Raw genomic sequence first — 18595 nt, forward strand, 5'->3', positions numbered from 1 at the left:
AACTTATTTGCGATGTGTGTCCTCAACTAACAGAGTTGAACCTTTGTTTTGATACAACATTTTGGAACCACTCTTTTTGTAGAATCTGCAAGTGGATATTTGGATAGCTTTGAAGGTTTCGTTGGAAACGGGAATATCTTCATATAAAATCAAGACAGAAGCATGCTCAGAAACTTCTCTGTGATGTTTGCATTCAACTCATAGAGGTGAACACTTCCCTTCATAGAGCAGGTTAGAAACACTCTTTTTGTAATATTTGGAAGTGGACATTTGCAGCGCTTTGAGGCCTATGTTGAAAAAGGAAATATCTTCTCCTAAAAACCAGACAGAAGCATTCTCAGAAACTTCCTTCTGATGTGTGTACTCAAGTAACAGAGTTGAACCTTCCTTTTGCCAGAGCAGTTTTGAAGCACTCTTTTTGTAGAATCTGCAAGTGGATATTTTGATACCTTTGAGGATTTCGTTGGACATGGGATATCTTCATATAAAATCTAGACAGAAGCATTCGCAGACACTTCTTTGTGCTGTATATCCTCCATTAACAGAGTTGAACCTTTGTTTCGATACGGCATTTTGGAAACATTCCTTTAGTAGAATCTGCAAGTTCATATTTAGATAGCTAGGAAGATTTCCTTGCAAACGGGAATATCTTCATATAAAATCTAGACGGAAGCATTCTCAGAAAGTGCTTTGTGATGTTTGCATTCAAGTCACAGAGTTGAATATTCCCTTTTATAGAGCAGGTTTGAAACACTCTTTCTGCACTACCTGGAAGTGGACATTTGGAGCGCTTTGAGGCCTATGTTGAAAAAGGAAATATCTTCCCATAAAAACTAGACAGAAGCATTCTCAGAAACTTGTTTGTGATGTGTGTATTCAACTAACAGAGATGAACCTTTCTTTTTACAGAGCAGTTTTGAAACACTCTTTTTGTGGAATCTGAAAGTGGATATTTGGATAGCTTTGAGGATTTCGTTGGAAACGGGATTACATATAAAACCTAGAGAGAAGCATTCTCAGGAACTTCTTTGTGATGTTTGCATTCAAGTCACAGAACTGAACATTCCCTTTCATAGAGCAGGTTTGAAACACTCTTTCTGTAGTATCTGCAAGCGGACGTTTTAAGCGCTTTCAGGCCTGTGGTGAGAAAGGAAATATCTTCAAATAAAAACTAGACAGAAGCATTCTCAGAAACTTATTTGCGATGTGTGTCCTCAACTAACAGAGTTGAACCTTTCTTTTGATACAACATTTTGGAAACACTCTTTTTGTAGAATCTGCAAGTGGATATTTGAATAGCTTTGAAGGTTTCGTTGGAAACGGGAATATCTTCATATAAAATCAAGACAGAAGCATTCTCAGAAACTGCTTTGTGATGTTTTCATTCAAGTCACAGAGTAGAATGTTCCCTGTTATATACCAGGTTTGAGACACTCTTTCTGCACTACATGGAAGTGGACGTTTGGAGCGCTTTGAGGCCTATGTTGAAAAAGGAAATATCTTCCCATAAAAACTAGACAGAAGCATTCTCAGAAACTTGTTTGTGATGTGTGTATTCAACTAACAGAGATGAACCTTTCTTTTTACAGAGCAGTTTTGAAACACTCTTTTTGTGGAATCTGAAAGTGGATATTTGGATAGCTTTGAGGATTTCGTTGGAAACGGGATTACATATAAAACCTAGAGAGAAGCATTCTCAGGAACTTCTTTGCGATGTTTGCATTCAAGTCACAGAACTGAACATTCCCTTTCATAGAGCAGGTTTGAAACACTCTTTCTGTAGTATCTGCAAGCTGACGTTTCAAGCGCTTTCAGGCCTATGGTGAGAAAGGAAATTTCTTCAAGTAAAAACTAGACAGAAGCATTCTCAGAAACTTATTTGCGATGTGTGTTCTCAACTAACAGAGTTGAACCTTTGTTTTGATATGGCATTTTGGAAACACTCTTTTTGTAGAATCTGCAGGTGGATATTCGGATAGCTTTGAAGGTTTCGTTGGAAACGGGAATATCTTCATATAAAATCTAGACGGAAGCATTCTCAGAAAGTGCTTTGTGATGTTTGCATTCAAGTCACAGAGTTGAATATTCCCTTTTATAGAGCAGGTTTGAAACACTCTTTCTGCACTACCTGGAAGTGGACATTTGGAGCGCTTTGAGGCCTATGTTGAAAAAGGAAATATCTTCCCATAAAAACTAGACAGAAGCATTCTCAGAAACTTGTTTGTGATGTGTGTATTCAACTAACAGAGATGAACCTTTCTTTTTACAGAGCAGTTTTGAAACACTCTTTTTGTGGAATCTGAAAGTGGATATTTGGATAGCTTTGAGGATTTCGTTGGAAACGGGATTACATATAAAACCTAGAGAGAAGCATTCTCAGGAACTTCTTTGTGATGTTTGCATTCACGTCACAGAACTGAACATTCCCTTTCATAGAGCATGTTTGAAACACTCTTTCTGTAGTATCTGCAAACGGACATTTCAAACGCTTTCAGGCCTATGGTGAGAAAGGAAATATCTTCAAGTAAAAACTAGACAGAAGCATTCTCAGAAACTTATTTGCGATGTGTGTCCTCAACTAACAGAGTTGAACCTTTCTTTTGATACAACATTTTGGAACCACTCTTTTTGTAGAATCTGCAAGTGGATATTTGGATAGCTTTGAAGGTTTCGTTGGAAACGGGAATATCTTCATATAAAATCAACACAGAAGCATTCTCAGAAACTTCTCTGTGATGTTTGCATTCAACTCATAGAGTTGAACACTTCCCTTCATACAGCAGGTTTGAAACACTCTTTTTGTAATATTTGGAAGTGGACATTTGCAGCGCTTTGAGGCCTATGATGAAAAAGGAAATATCTTCCCATAAAAACTAGACAGAAGCATTCTCAGAAACTTGTTTGTGATGTGTGTATTCAACTAACAGAGATGAACCTTTCTTTTTACAGAGCAGTTTTGAAACACTCTTTTTGTGGAATCTGAGAGTGGATATTTGGATAGCTTTGAGGATTTCGTTGGAAACGGGATTACATATAAAATCTAGAGAGAAGCATTCTCAGGAACTTCTTTGTGATGTTTGCATTCAAGTCACAGAACTGAACATTCCCTTTCATAGAGCAGGTTTGAAACACTCTTTCTGTAGTATCTGCAAGCTGACGTTTCAAGCGCTTTCAGGCCTATGGTGAGAAAGGAAATATCTTCAAGTAAAAACTAGACAGAAGCATTCTCAGAAACTTATTTGCGATGTGTGTCCTCAACTAACAGAGTTGAACCTTTCTTTTGATACAACATTTTGGAAACACTCTTTTTGTGGAATCTGCAAGTGGATATTTGGATAGCTTTGAAGGTTTCGTTGGAAACGGGAATATCTTCATATAAAATCAAGACAGAAGCATTCTCAGAAACTTCTCTGTGATGTTTGCATTCAACTCATAGAGTTGAACACTTCCCTTCATACAGCAGGTTTGAAACACTCTTTTTGTAATATTTGGAAGTGGACATTTGCAGCGCTTTGAGGCCTATGATGAAAAAGGTAATATCTTCCCATAAAAACTAGACAGAAGCATTCTCAGAAACTTGTTTGTGATGTGTGTATTCAACTAACAGAGATGAACCTTTCTTTTTACAGAGCAGTTTTGAAACACTCTTTTTGTGGAATCTGAAAGTGCATATTTGGATAGCTTTGAGGATTTCGTTGGAAACGGGATTACATATAAAATCTAGAGAGAAGCATTCTCAGGAACTTCTTTGTGATGTTTGCATTCAAGTCACAGAACTGAACATTCCCTTTCATAGAGCATGTTTGAAACACTCTTTCTGTAGTATCTGCAAACGGACATTTCAAACGCTTTCAGGCCTATGGTGAGAAAGGAAATATCTTCAAATAAAAACTAGACAGAAGCATTCTCAGAAACTTATTTGCGATGTGTGTCCTCAACTAACAGAGTTGAACCTTTCTTTTGATATAACATTTTGGAAACACTCTTTTTGTAGAATCTGCAAGTGGATATTTGAATAGCTTTGAAGGTTTCGTTGGAAACGGGAATATCTTCTTATAAAATCAAGACAGAAGCATTCTCAGAAACTTCTCTGTGATGTTTGCATTCAACTCATAGAGTTGAACACTTCCCTTCATACAGCAGGTTTGAAACACTCTTTTTGTAATATTTGGAAGTGGACATTTGCAGCGCTTTGAGGCCTATGATGAAAAAGGTAATATCTTCCCATAAAAACTAGACAGAAGCATTCTCAGAAACTTGTTTGTGATGTGTGTATTCAACTAACAGAGATGAACCTTTCATTTTACAGAGCAGTTTTGAAACACTCTTTTTGTGGAATCTGAAAGTGGATATTTGGATAGCTTTGAGGATTTCGTTGGAAACGGGATTACATATAAAATCTAGAGGGAGAAGCATTCTCAGGAACTTCTTTGTGATGTTTGCATTCACGTCACAGAACTGAACATTCCCTTTCATAGAGCATGTTTGAAACACTCTTTCTGTAGTATCTGCAAACGGACATTTCAAACGCTTTCAGGCCTATGGTGAGAAAGGAAATATCTTCAAATAAAAACTAGACAGAAGCATTCTCAGAAACTTCTTTGTGCTGTATGTCCTCAATTAACAGAGTTGAACCTTTGTGTGGATACAGCATTTTGGAAACATTCCTTTAGTAGAATCTGCAAGTTGATATTTAGATAGCTAGGAAGATTTCCTTGGAAACGGGAATATCTTCATATAAAATCTAGACGGAAGCATTCTCAGAAACTGCTTTGTGATGTTTTCATTCAAGTCACAGAGTAGAATGTTCCCTGTTATATACCAGGTTTGAGACACTCTTTCTGCACTACCTGGAAGTGGACGTTTGGAGCGCTTTGAGGCCTATGTTGAAAAAGGAAATATCTTCCCATAAAAACTAGACAGAAGCATTCTCAGAAACTTGTTTGTGATGTGTGTATTCAACTAACAGAGATGAACCTTTCTTTTTACAGAGCAGTTTTGAAACACTCTTTTTGTGGAATCTGAAAGTGGATATTTGGATAGCTTTGAGGATTTCGTTGGAAACGGGATTACATATAAAACCTAGAGAGAAGCATTCTCAGGAACTTCTTTGTGATGTTTGCATTCACGTCACAGAACTGAACATTCCCTTTCATAGAGCATGTTTGAAACACTCTTTCTGTAGTATCTGCAAACGGACATTTCAAACGCTTTCAGGCCTATGGTGAGAAAGGAAATATCTTCAAATAAAAACTAGACAGAAGCATTCTCAGAAACTTATTTGCGATGTGTGTTCTCAACTAACAGAGTTGAACCTTTGTTTTGATATGGCATTTTGGAAACACTCTTTTTGTAGAATCTGCAGGTGGATATTCGGATAGCTTTGAAGGTTTCGTTGGAAACGGGAATATCTTCATATAAAATCTAGACGGAAGCATTCTCAGAAACTGCTTTGTGATGTTTTCATTCAAGTCACAGAGTAGAATGTTCCCTGTTATATACCAGGTTTGAGACACTCTTTCTGCACTACCCGGAAGTGGACATTTGCAGCGCTTTGAGGCCTATGATGAAAAAGGAAATATCTTCCCATAAAAACTAGACAGAAGCATTCTCAGAAACTTGTTTGTGATGTGTGTATTCAACTAACAGAGATGAACCTTTCTTTTTACAGAGCAGTTTTGAAACACTCTTTTTGTGGAATCTGAAAGTGGATATTTGGATAGCTTTGAGGATTTCGTTGGAAACGGGATTACATATAAAATTCTAGAGAGAAGAGCATTCTCAGGAACTTCTTTGTGATGTTTGCATTCAAGTCACAGAACTGAACATTCCCTTTCATAGAGCAGGTTTGAAACACTCTTTCTGTAGTATCTGCAAGCTGACGTTTCAAGCGCTTTCAGGCCTATGGTGAGAAAGGAAATATCTTCAAGTAAAAACTAGACAGAAGCATTCTCAGAAACTTCTTTGTGCTGTATGTCCTCAATTAACAGAGTTGAACCTTTCTGTGGATACAGCATTTTGGAAACATTCCTTTAGTAGAATCTGCAAGTTGATATTTAGATAGCTAGGAAGATTTCCTTGGAAACGGGAATATCTTCATATAAAATCTAGATGGAAGCATTCTCAGAAAGTGCTTTGTGATGTTTGCATTCAAGTCACAGAGTTGAATATTCCGTTTTATAGAGCAGGTTTGAAACACTCTTTCTGCACTACCTGGAAGTGGACATTTGGAGCACTTTGAGGCCTATGTTGAAAAAGGAAATATCTTCCCATAAAAACTAGACAGAAGCATTGTCAGAAACTTGTTTGTGATGTGTGTATTCAACTAACAGAGATGAACCTTTCTTTTTACAGAGCAGTTTTGAAACACTCTTTTTGTGGAATCTGAAAGTGGATATTTGGATAGCTTTGAGGATTTCGTTGGAAACGGGATTACATATAAAACCTAGAGAGAAGCATTCTCAGGAACTTCTTTGTGATGTTTGCCTTCAAGTCACAGGACTGAACATTCTCTTTCATAGAGCAGGTTTGAAACACTCTTTCTGTAGTATCTGCAAGCTGACGTTTCATGCGCTTTCAGGCCTATGGTGAGAAAGGAAATATCTTCAAGTAAAAACTAGACAGAAGCATTCTCAGAAACTTATTTGCCATGTGTGTTCTCAACTAACAGAGTTGAACCTTTGTTTTGATACGGCATTTTGGAAACACTCTTTTTGTAGAATCTGCAGGTGGATATTCGGATAGCTTTGAAGGTTTCGTTGGAAACGGGAATATCTTCATATAAAATCTAGACGGAAGCATTCTCAGAAACTGCTTTGTGATGTTCTCATTCAAGTCACAGAGTAGAATGTTCCCTGTTATATACCAGGTTTGAGACACTCTTTCTGCACTACCTGGAAGTGGACGTTTGGAGCGCTTTGAGGCCTTTGTTGAAAAAGGAAATATCTTCCCATAAAAACTAGACAGAAGCATTCTCAGAAACTTGTTTGTGATGTGTGTATTCAACTAACAGAGATGAACCTTTCTTTTTACAGAGCAGTTTTGAAACACTCTTTTTGTGGAATCTGAAAGTGGATATTTGGATAGCTTTGAGGATTTCGTTGGAAACGGGATTACATATAAAACCTAGAGAGAAGCATTCTCAGGAACTTCTTTGTGATGTTTGCATTCAAGTCACAGAACTGAACATTCCCTTTCATAGAGCAGGTTTGAAACACTCTTTCTGTAGTATCTGCAAGCGGACGTTTTAAGCGCTTTCAGGCCTGTGGTGAGAAAGGAAATATCTTCAAATAAAAACTAGACAGAAGCATTCTCAGAAACTTATTTGCGATGTGTGTCCTCAACTAACAGAGTTGAACCTTTCTTTTGATACAACATTTTGGAAACACTCTTTTTGTGGAATCTGCAAGTGGATATTTGGATAGCTTTGAAGGTTTCGTTGGAAACGGGAATATCTTCATATAAAATCAAGACAGAAGCATTCTCAGAAACTTCTCTGTGATGTTTGCATTCAACTCATAGAGTTGAACACTTCCCTTCATACAGCAGGTTTGAAACACTCTTTTTGTAATATTTGGAAGTGGACATTTGCAGCGCTTTGAGGCCTATGATGAAAAAGGAAATATCTTCCCATAAAAACTAGACAGGAAGCATTCTCAGAAACTTGTTTGTGATGTGTGTATTCAACTAACAGAGATGAACCTTTCTTTTTACAGAGCAGTTTTGAAACACTCTTTTTGTGGAATCTGAAAGTGGATATTTGGATAGCTTTGCGGATTTCGTTGGAAACGGGATTACATATAAAATCTAGGGAGAAGCATTCTCAGGAACTTCTTTGTGATGTTTGCCTTCAAGTCACAGGACTGAACATTCCCTTTCATAGAGCAGGTTTGAAACACTCTTTCTGTAGTATCTGCAAGCTGACGTTTCAAGCGCTTTCAGGCCTATGGTGAGAAAGGAAATATCTTCAAGTAAAAACTAGACAGAAGCATTCTCAGAAACTTATTTGCGATGTGTGTCCTCAACTAACAGAGTTGAACCTTTCTTTTGATACAACATTTTGGAAACACTCTTTTTGTAGAATCTGCAAGTGGATATTTGAATAGCTTTGAAGGTTTCGTTGGAAACGGGAATATCTTCATATAAAATCAAGACAGAAGCATTCTCAGAAACTGCTTTGTGATGTTTTCATTCAAGTCACAGAGTAGAATGTTCTCTTTTATATACCAGGTTTGAGACACTCTTTCTGCACTATCTGGAAGTGGACATTTGGAGCGCTTTGAGGCCTATGATGAAAAAGGAAATATCTTCCCATAAAAATTAGACAGAAGCATTCTCAGAAACTTGTTTGTGATGTGTGTATTCAACTAACAGAGATGAACCTTTCTTTTTACAGAGCAGTTTTGAAACACTCTTTCTGTGGAATCTGAAAGTGCATATTTGGATAGCTTTGAGGATTTCGTTGGAAACGGGATTACATATAAAATCTAGAGAGAAGCATTCTCAGGAACTTCTTTGTGATGTTTGCATTCACGTCACAGAACTGAACATTCCCTTTCATAGAGCATGTTTGAAACACTCTTTCTGTAGTATCTGCAAACGGACATTTCAAACGCTTTCAGGCCTATGGTGAGAAAGGAAATATCTTCAAATAAAAACTAGACAGAAGCATTCTCAGAAACTTATTTGCGATGTGTGTCCTCAACTAACAGAGTTGAACCTTTGTTTTGATACAACATTTTGGAACCACTCTTTTTGTAGAATCAGCAAGTGGATATTTGGATAGCTTTGAAGGTTTCGTTGGAAACGGGAATATCTTCATATAAAATCAAGACAGAAGCATTCTCAGAAAGTGCTTTGTGATGTTTGCATTCAAGTCACAGAGTTGAATATTCCCTTTTATAGAGTAGGTTTGAAACACTCTTTCTGCACTACCTGGAAGTGGACATTGGGAGCGCTTTGAGGCCTATGTTGAAAAAGGAAATATCTTCCCATAAAAACTAGACAGAAGCATTCTCAGAAACTTGTTTGTGATGTGTGTATTCAACTAACAGAGATGAACCTTTCTTTTTACAGAGCAGTTTTGAAACACTCTTTTTGTGGAATCTGAAAGTGGATATTTGGATAGCTTTGAGGATTTCGTTGGAAACGGGATTACATATAAAACCTAGAGAGAAGCATTCTCAGGAACTTCTTTGTGATGTTTGCATTCACGTCACAGAACTGAACATTCCCTTTCATAGAGCATGTTTGAAACACTCTTTCTGTAGTATCTGCAAACGGACATTTCAAACGCTTTCAGGCCTATGGTGAGAAAGGAAATATCTTCAAATAAAAACTAGACAGAAGCATTCTCAGAAACTTCTTTGTGCTGTATGTCCTCAATTAACAGAGTTGAACCTTTGTGTGGATACAGCATTTTGGAAACATTCCTTTAGTAGAATCTGCAAGTTGATATTTAGATAGCTAGGAAGATTTCCTTGGAAACGGGAATATCTTCATATAAAATCTAGACGGAAGCATTCTCAGAAACTTCTCTGTGATGTTTGCATTCAACTCATAGAGTTGAACACTTCCCTTCATACAGCAGGTTTGAAACACTCTTTTTGTAATATTTGGAAGTGGACATTTGCAGCGCTTTGAGGCCTATGATGAAAAAGGTAATATCTTCCCATAAAAACTAGACAGAAGCATTCTCAGAAACTTGTTTGTGATGTGTGTATTCAACTAACAGAGATGAACCTTTCTTTTTACAGAGCAGTTTTGAAACACTCTTTTTGTGGAATCTGAAAGTGGATATTTGGATAGCTTTGAGGATTTCGTTGGAAACGGGATTACATATAAAACCTAGAGAGAAGCATTCTCAGGAACTTCTTTGTGATGTTTGCATTCAAGTCACAGAACTGAACATTCCCTTTCATAGAGCATGTTTGAAACACTCTTTCTGTAGTATCTGCAAGCGGACGTTTCAAGCGCTTTGAGGCCTATGGTGCGAAAGGAAATATCTTCAAGTAAAAACTAGACAGAAGCATTCTCAGAAACTTATTTGCCATGTGTGTTCTCAACTAACAGAATTAAACCTTTGTTGTGATACGGCATTTTGGAAACACTCTTTTTGTAGAATCTGCAGGTGCATATTCGGATAGCTTTGAAGGTTTCGTTGGAAACGGGAATATCTTCATATAAAATCTAGACGGAAGCATTCTCAGAAACTGCTTTGTGATGTTTTCATTCCAGTCACAGAGTAGAATGTTCCCTTTTATATACCAGGTTTGAGACACTCTTTCTGCACTATCTGGAAGTGGACATTTGGAGCGCTTTGAGGCCTATGATGAAAAAGGAAATATCTTCCCATAAAAACTAGACAGAAGCATTCTCAGAAACTTGTTTGTGATGTGTGTATTCAACTAACAGAGATGAACCTTTCTTTTTACAGAGCAGTTTTGAAACACTCTTTTTGTGGAATCTGAAAGTGGATATTTGGATAGCTTCGAGGATTTCGTTGGAAACGGGATTACATATAAAATCTAGAGAGAAGCATTCTCAGGAACTTCTTTGTGATGTTTGCATTCAAGTCACAGAACTGAACATTCCCTTTCATAGAGCATGTTTGAAACACTCTTTCTGTAGTATCTGCAAGCGGACGTTTCAAGCGCTTTCAGGCCTATGGTGAGAAAGGAAATATCTTCAAGTAAAAACTAGACAGAAGCATTCTCAGAAACTTATTTGCGATGTGTGTTCTCAACTAAAAGAGTTGAACCTTTGTTTGGATACAGCATTTTGGAAACACTCTTTTTGTAGAATCTGCAAGTGGATATTTGGATAGCTTTGAAGGTTTCGTTGGAAACGGGAATATCTTCATATAAAATCAAGACAGAAGCATTCTCAGTAAAGTGCTTTGTGATGTTTGCATTCAAGTCACAGAGTTGAATATTCCCTTTTATAGAGCAGGTTTGAAACACTCTTTCTGCACTACCTGGAAGTGGACATTTGGAGCGCTTTGAGGCCTATGTTGAAAAAGGGAATATCTTCCCATAAAAACTAGACAGAAGCATTCTCAGAAACTTGTTTGAGATGTGTGTATTCAACTAACAGAGATGAACCTTTCTTTTTACAGAGCAGTTTTGAAACACTCTTTTTGTGGAATCTGAAAGTGGATATTTGGATAGCTTTGCGGATTTCGTTGGAAACGGGATTACATATAAAATCTAGGGAGAAGCATTCTCAGGAACTTCTTTGTGATGTTTGCATTCAAGTCACAGAACTGAACATTCCCTTTCATAGATCAGGTTTGAAACACTCTTTCTGTAGTATCTGCAAGCGGACGTTTTAAGCGCTTTCAGGCCTGTGGTGAGAAAGGAAATATCTTCAAATAAAAACTAGACAGAAGCATTCTCAGAAACTTATTTGAGATGTGTGTCCTCAACTAACAGAGTTGAACCTTTCTTTTGATACAACATTTTGGAAACACTCTTTTTGTAGAATCTGCAAGTGGATATTTGGATAGCTTTGAAGGTTTCGTTGGAAACGGGAATATCTTCATATGAAATCAAGACAGAAGCATTCTCAGAAACTTCTCTGTGATGTTTGCATTCAACTCATAGAGTTGAACACTTCCCTTCATACAGCAGGTTTGAAACACTCTTTTTCTAATATTTGGAAGTGGACATTTGCAGCGCTTTGAGGCCTATGTTGAAAAAGGAAATATCTTCTCCTAAAAACCAGACAGAAGCATTCTCAGAAACTTCCTTGTGATGTGTGTACTCAAGTAACAGAGTTGAACCTTCCTTTTGACAGAGCAGTTTTGAAGCACTCTTTTTGTAGAATCTGCAAGTGGATATTTTGATACCTTTGAGGATTTCGTTGGACACGGGATATCTTCATATAAAATCTAGACAGAAGCATTCTCAGGAACTTCTTTGTGATGTTTGCATTCAAGTCACAGAACTGAACATTCCCTTTCATAGAGCAGGTTTGAAACACTCTTTCTGTAGTATCTGCAAGCTGACGTTTCAAGCGCTTTCAGGCCTATGGTGAGAAAGGAAATATCTTCAAGTAAAAACTAGACAGAAGCATTCTCAGAAACTTATTTGCGATGTGTGTCCTCAACTAACAGAGTTGGACCTTTCTTTTGATACAACATTTTGGAAACACTCTTTTTGTAGAATCTGCAAGTGGATATTTGAATAGCTTTGAAGGTTTCGTTGGAAACGGGAATATCTTCATATAAAATCAAGACAGAAGCATTCTCAGAAACTTCTCTGTGATGTTTGCATTCAACTCATAGAGTTGAACACTTCCCTTCATACAGCAGGTTTGAAACACTCTTTTTGTAATATTTGGAAGTGGACATTTGCAGCGCTTTGAGGCCTATGATGAAAAAGGAAATATCTTCCCATAAAAACTAGACAGAAGCATTCTCAGAAACTTGTTTGTGATGTGTGTATTCAACTAACAGAGATGAACCTTTCTTTTTACAGAGCAGTTTTGAAACACTCTTTTTGTGGAATCTGAAAGTGGATATTTGGATAGCTTTGAGGATTTCGTTGGAAACGGGATTACATATAAAACCTAGAGAGAAGCATTCTCAGGAACTTCTTTGTGATGTTTGCATTCAAGTCACAGAACTGAACATTCCCTTTCATAGAGCATGTTTGAAACACTCTTTCTGTAGTATCTGCAAGCGGACGTTTCAAGCGCTTTCAGGCCTATGGTGAGAAAGGAAATATCTTCAAGTAAAAACTAGACAGAAGCATTCTCAGAAACTTATTTGCGATGTGTGTTCTCAACTAACAGAGTTGAACCTTTGTTTTGATATGGCATTTTGGAAACACTCTTTTTGTAGAATCTGCAGGTGGATATTCGGATAGCTTTGAAGGTTTCGTTGGAAACGGGAATATCTTCATATAAAATCTAGACGGAAGCATTCTCAGAAACTGCTTTGTGATGTTTTCATTCAAGTCACAGAGTAGAATGTTCCCTGTTATATACCAGGTTTGAGACACTCTTTCTGCACTACCTGGAAGTGGACGTTTGGAGCGCTTTGAGGCCTATGTTGAAAAAGGAAATATCTTCCCATAAAAACTAGACAGAAGCATTCTCAGAAACTTGTTTGTGATGTGTGTATTCAACTAACAGAGATGAACCTTTCTTTTTACAGAGCAGTTTTGAAACACTCTTTTTGTGGAATCTGAAAGTGGATATTTGGATAGCTTTGAGGGATTTCGTTGGAAACGGGATTACATATAAAATCTAGAGGAGAAGCATTCTCAGAAACTTCTCTGTGATGTTTGCATTCAACTCATAGAGGTGAACACTTCCCTTCATAGAGCAGGTTTGAAACACTCTTTTTGTAATATTTGGAAGTGGACATTTGCAGCGCTTTGAGGCCTATGTTGAAAAAGGAAATATCTTCTCCTAAAAACCAGACAGAAGCATTCTCAGAAACTTATTTGCCATGTGTGTTCTCAACTAACAGAGTTGAACCTTTGTTTTGATACGGCATTTTGGAAACACTCTTTTTGTAGAATCTGCAGGTGGATATTCGGATAGCTTTGAAGGTTTCGTTGGAAACGGGAATATCTTCATATAAAATCTAGACGGAAGCATTCTCAGAAAGTGCTTTGTGATGTTTTCATTCAAGTCACAGAGTAGAATGTTCCCTGTTATATACCAGGTTTGAGACACTCTTTCTGCACTACCTGGAAGTGGACGTTTGGAGCGCTTTGAGGCCTATGATGAAAAAGGAAATATCTTCCCATAAAAACTAGACAGAAGCATTCTCAGAAACTTGTTTGTGATGTGTGTATTCAACTAACAGAGATGAACCTTTCTTTTTACAGAGCAGTTTTGAAACACTCTTTTTGTGGAATCTGAAAGTGGATATTTGGATAGCTTTGAGGATTTCGTTGGAAACGGGATTACATATAAAACCTAGAGAGAAGCATTCTCAGGAACTTCTTTGTGATGTTTGCATTCAAGTCACAGAACTGAACATTCCCTTTCATAGAGCAGGTTTGAAACACTCTTTCTGTAGTATCTGCAAGCGGACGTTTTAAGCGCTTTCAGGCCTGTGGTGAGAAAGGAAATATCTTCAAATAAAAACTAGACAGAAGCATTCTCAGAAACTTATTTGCCATGTGTGTTCTCAACTAACAGAGTTGAACCTTTGTTTTGATACGGCATTTTGGAAACACTCTTTTTGTAGAATCTGCAGGTGGATATTCGGATAGCTTTGAAGGTTTCGTTGGAAACGGGAATATCTTCATATAAAATCTTGACGGAAGCATTCTCAGAAACTGCTTTGTGATGTTTTCATTCAAGTCACAGAGTAGAATGTTCCCTGTTATATACCAGGTTTGAGACACTCTTTCTGCACTACCTGGAAGTGGACGTTTGGAGCGCTTTGAGGCCTATGTTGAAAAAGGAAATATCTTCCCATAAAAACTAGACAGAAGCATTCTCAGAAACTTGTTTGTGATGTGTGTATTCAACTAACAGAGATGAACCTTTCTTTTTACAGAGCAGTTTTGAAACACTCTTTTTGTGGAATCTGAAAGTGGATATTTGGATAGCTTTGAGGATTTCGTTGGAAACGGGATTACATATAAAACCTAGAGAGAAGCATTCTCAGGAACTTCTTTGTGATGTTTGCATTCAAGTCACAGAACTGAACATTCCCTTTCATAGAGCATGTTTGAAACACTCTTTCTGTAGTATCTGCAAACGGACGTTTCAAACGCTTTCAGGCCTATGGTGAGAAAGGAAATATCTTCAAATAAAAACTAGACAGAAGCATTCTCAGAAACTTATTTGCGATGTGTGTTCTCAACTAACAGAGTTGAACCTTTGTTTTGATATGGCATTTTGGAAACACTCTTTTTGTAGAATCTGCAGGTGGATATTCGGATAGCTTTGAAGGTTTCGTTGGAAACGGGAATATCTTCATATAAAATCTAGACGGAAGCATTCTCAGAAACTGCTTTGTGATGTTTTCATTCAAGTCACAGAGTAGAATGTTCCCTGTTATATACCAGGTTTGAGACACTCTTTCTGCACTACCTGGAAGTGGACATTTGCAGCGCTTTGAGGCCTATGATGAAAAAGGAAATATCTTCCCATAAAAACTAGACAGAAGCATTCTCAGAAACTTGTTTGTGATGTGTGTATTCAACTAACAGAGATGAACCTTTCTTTTTACAGAGCAGTTTTGAAACACTCTTTTTGTGGAATCTGAAAGTGGATATTTGGATAGCTTTGAGGATTTCGTTGGAAACGGGATTACATATAAAACCTAGAGAGAAGCATTCTCAGGAACTTCTTTGTGATGTTTGCATTCAAGTCACAGGACTGAACATTCCCTTTCATAGAGCAGGTTTGAAACACTCTTTCTGTAGTATCTGCAAGCTGACGTTTCAAGCGCTTTCAGGCCTATGGTGAGAAAGGAAATATCTTCAAGTAAAAACTAGACAGAAGCATTCTCAGAAACTTATTTGCCATGTGTGTTCTCAACTAACAGAGTTGAACCTTTGTTTTGATACGGCATTTTGGAAACACTCTTTTTGTAGAATCTGCAGGTGGATATTCGGATAGCTTTGAAGGTTTCGTTGGAAACGGGAATATCTTCATATAAAATCTAGACGGAAGCATTCTCAGAAACTTCTCTGTGATGTTTGCATTCAACTCATAGAGTTGAACACTTCCCTTCATAGAGCAGATTTGAAACACTCTTTTTGTAATATTTGGAAGTGGACATTTGCAGCGCTTTGAGGCCTATGTTGAAAAAGGAAATATCTTCTCCTAAAAACCAGACAGAAGCATTCTCAGAAACTTGTTTGTGATGTGTGTATTCAACTAACAGAGATGAACCTTTCTTTTTACAGAGCAGTTTTGAAACACTCTTTTTGTGGAATCTGAAAGTGGATATTTGGATAGCTTTGAGGATTTCGTTGGAAACGGGATTACATATAAAACCTAGAGAGAAGCATTCTCAGGAACTTCTTTGTGATGTTTGCATTCACGTCACAGAACTGAACATTCCCTTTCATAGAGCATGTTTGAAACACTCTTTCTGTAGTATCTGCAAACGGACATTTCAAACGCTTTCAGGCCTATGGTGAGAAAGGAAATATCTTCAAATAAAAACTAGACAGAAGCATTCTCAGAAATTTATTTGCGATGTGTGTTCTCAACTAACAGAGTTGAACCTTTGTTTTGATATGGCATTTTGGAAACACTCTTTTTGTAGAATCTGCAGGTGGATATTCGGATAGCTTTGAAGGTTTCGTTGGAAACGGGAATATCTTCATATAAAATCTAGACGGAAGCATTCTCAGAAACTGCTTTGTGATGTTTTCATTCAAGTCACAGAGTAGAATGTTCCCTGTTATACACCAGGTTTGAGACACTCTTTCTGCACTACCTGGAAGTGGACGTTTGGAGCGCTTTGAGGCCTATGTTGAAAAAGGAAATATCTTCCCATAAAAACTAGACAGAAGCATTCTCAGAAACTTGTTTGTGATGTGTGTATTCAACTAACAGAGATGAACCTTTCTTTTTACAGAGCAGTTTTGAAACACTCTTTTTGTGGAATCTGAAAGTGGATATTTGGATAGCTTTGAGGATTTCGTTGGAAACGGGATTACCTATAAAATCTAGAGAGAAGCATTCTCAGGAACTTCTTTGTGATGTTTGCATTCACGTCACAGAACTGAACATTCCCTTTCATAGAGCATGTTTGAAACACTCTTTCTGTAGTATCTGCAAACGGACATTTCAAGCGCTTTCAGGCCTATGGTAAGAAAGGAAATATCTTCAAATAAAAACTAGACAGAAGCATTCTCAGAAACTTATTTGCGATGTGTGTCCTCAACTAACAGAGTTGAACCTTTGTTTTGATACAACATTTTGGAAACACTCTTTTTGTAGAATCTGCAAGTGGATATTTGGATAGCTTTGAAGGTTTCGTTGTTAACGGGAATATCTTCATATAAAATCAAGACAGAAAGCATTCTCAGAAACTTCTCTGTGATGTTTGCATTCAACTCATAGAGTTGAACACTTCCCTTCATACAGCAGGTTTGAAACACTCTTTTTGTAATATTTGGAAGTGGACATTTGCAGCGCTTTGAGGCCTATGATGAAAAAGGTAATATCTTCCCATAAAAACTAGACAGAAGCATTCTCAGAAACTTGTTTGTGATGTGTGTATTCAACTAACAGAGATGAACCTTTCTTTTTACAGAGCAGTTTTGAAACACTCTTTTTGTGGAATCTGAAAGTGGATATTTGGATAGCTTTGAGGATTTCGTTGGAAACGGGATTACATATAAAACCTAGAGAGAAGCATTCTCAGGAACTTCTTTGTGATGTTTGCCTTCAAGTCACAGGACTGAACATTCCCTTTCATAGAGCAGGTTTGAAACACTCTTTCTGTAGTATCTGCAAGCTGACGTTTCAAGCGCTTTCAGGCCTATGGTGACAAAGGAAATATCTTCAAGTAAAAACTAGACAGAAGCATTCTCAGAAACTTATTTGCGATGTGTGTCCTCAACTAACAGAGTTGAACCTTTCTTTTGATACAACATTTTGGAAACACTCTTTTTGTAGAATCTGCAAGTGGATATTTGAATAGCTTTGAAGGTTTCGTTGGAAACGGGAATATCTTCATATAAAATCAAGACAGAAGCATTCTCAGAAACTGCTTTGTGATGTTTTCATTCAAGTCACAGAGTAGAATGTTCCCTGTTATATACCAGGTTTGAGACACTCTTTCTGCACTACCCGGAAGTGGACGTTTGGAGCGCTTTGAGGCCTATGTTGAAAAAGGAAATATCTTCCCATAAAAACTAGACAGAAGCATTCTCAGAAACTTGTTTGTGATGTGTGTATTCAACTAACAGAGATGAACCTTTCTTTTTACAGAGCAGTTTTGAAACACTCTTTTTGTGGAATCTGAAAGTGGATATTTGGATAGCTTTGCGGATTTCGTTGGAAACGGGATTACATATAAAATCTAGGGAGAAGCATTCTCAGGAACTTCTTTGTGATGTTTGCATTCAAGTCACAGAACTGAACATTCCCTTTCATAGAGCAGGTTTGAAACACTCTTTCTGTAGTATCTGCAAGCGGACGTTTTAAGCGCTTTCAGGCCTGTGGTGAGAAAGGAAATATCTTCAAATAAAAACTAGACAGAAGCATTCTCAGAAACTTATTTGCCATGTGTGTTCTCAACTAACAGAGTTGAACCTTTGTTTTGATACGGCATTTTGGAAACACTCTTTTTGTAGAATCTGCAGGTGGATATTCGGATAGCTTTGAAGGTTTCGTTGGAAACGGGAATATCTTCATATAAAATCTAGACGGAAGCATTCTCAGAAACTGCTTTGTGATGTTTTCATTCAAGTCACAGAGTAGAATGTTCCCTTTTATATACCAGGTTTGAGACACTCTTTCTGCACTATCTGGAAGTGGACATTTGGAGCGCTTTGAGGCCTATGATGAAAAAGGAAATATCTTCCCATAAAAACTAGACAGAAGCATTCTCAGAAACTTGTTTGTGATGTGTGTATTCAACTAACAGAGATGAACCTTTCTT

The 18595-nt window shown here is 37.4% G+C and overlaps 1 annotated feature.

Moving 5' to 3' along the window:
• Positions 1-18595: part of a centromere (Linear centromere model derived predominantly from reads generated in PMID: 17803354. This region does not represent an actual centromere sequence, as long-range ordering of repeats and unmapped WGS contigs is not provided by the model. For details of model production, see http://arxiv.org/abs/1307.0035.) that runs on past both edges of the window.

The sequence above is a fragment of the Homo sapiens genome, chromosome 9 (assembly GCF_000001405.40).
Source record: "Homo sapiens chromosome 9, GRCh38.p14 Primary Assembly".
Lineage (NCBI taxonomy): Eukaryota > Metazoa > Chordata > Mammalia > Primates > Hominidae > Homo > Homo sapiens.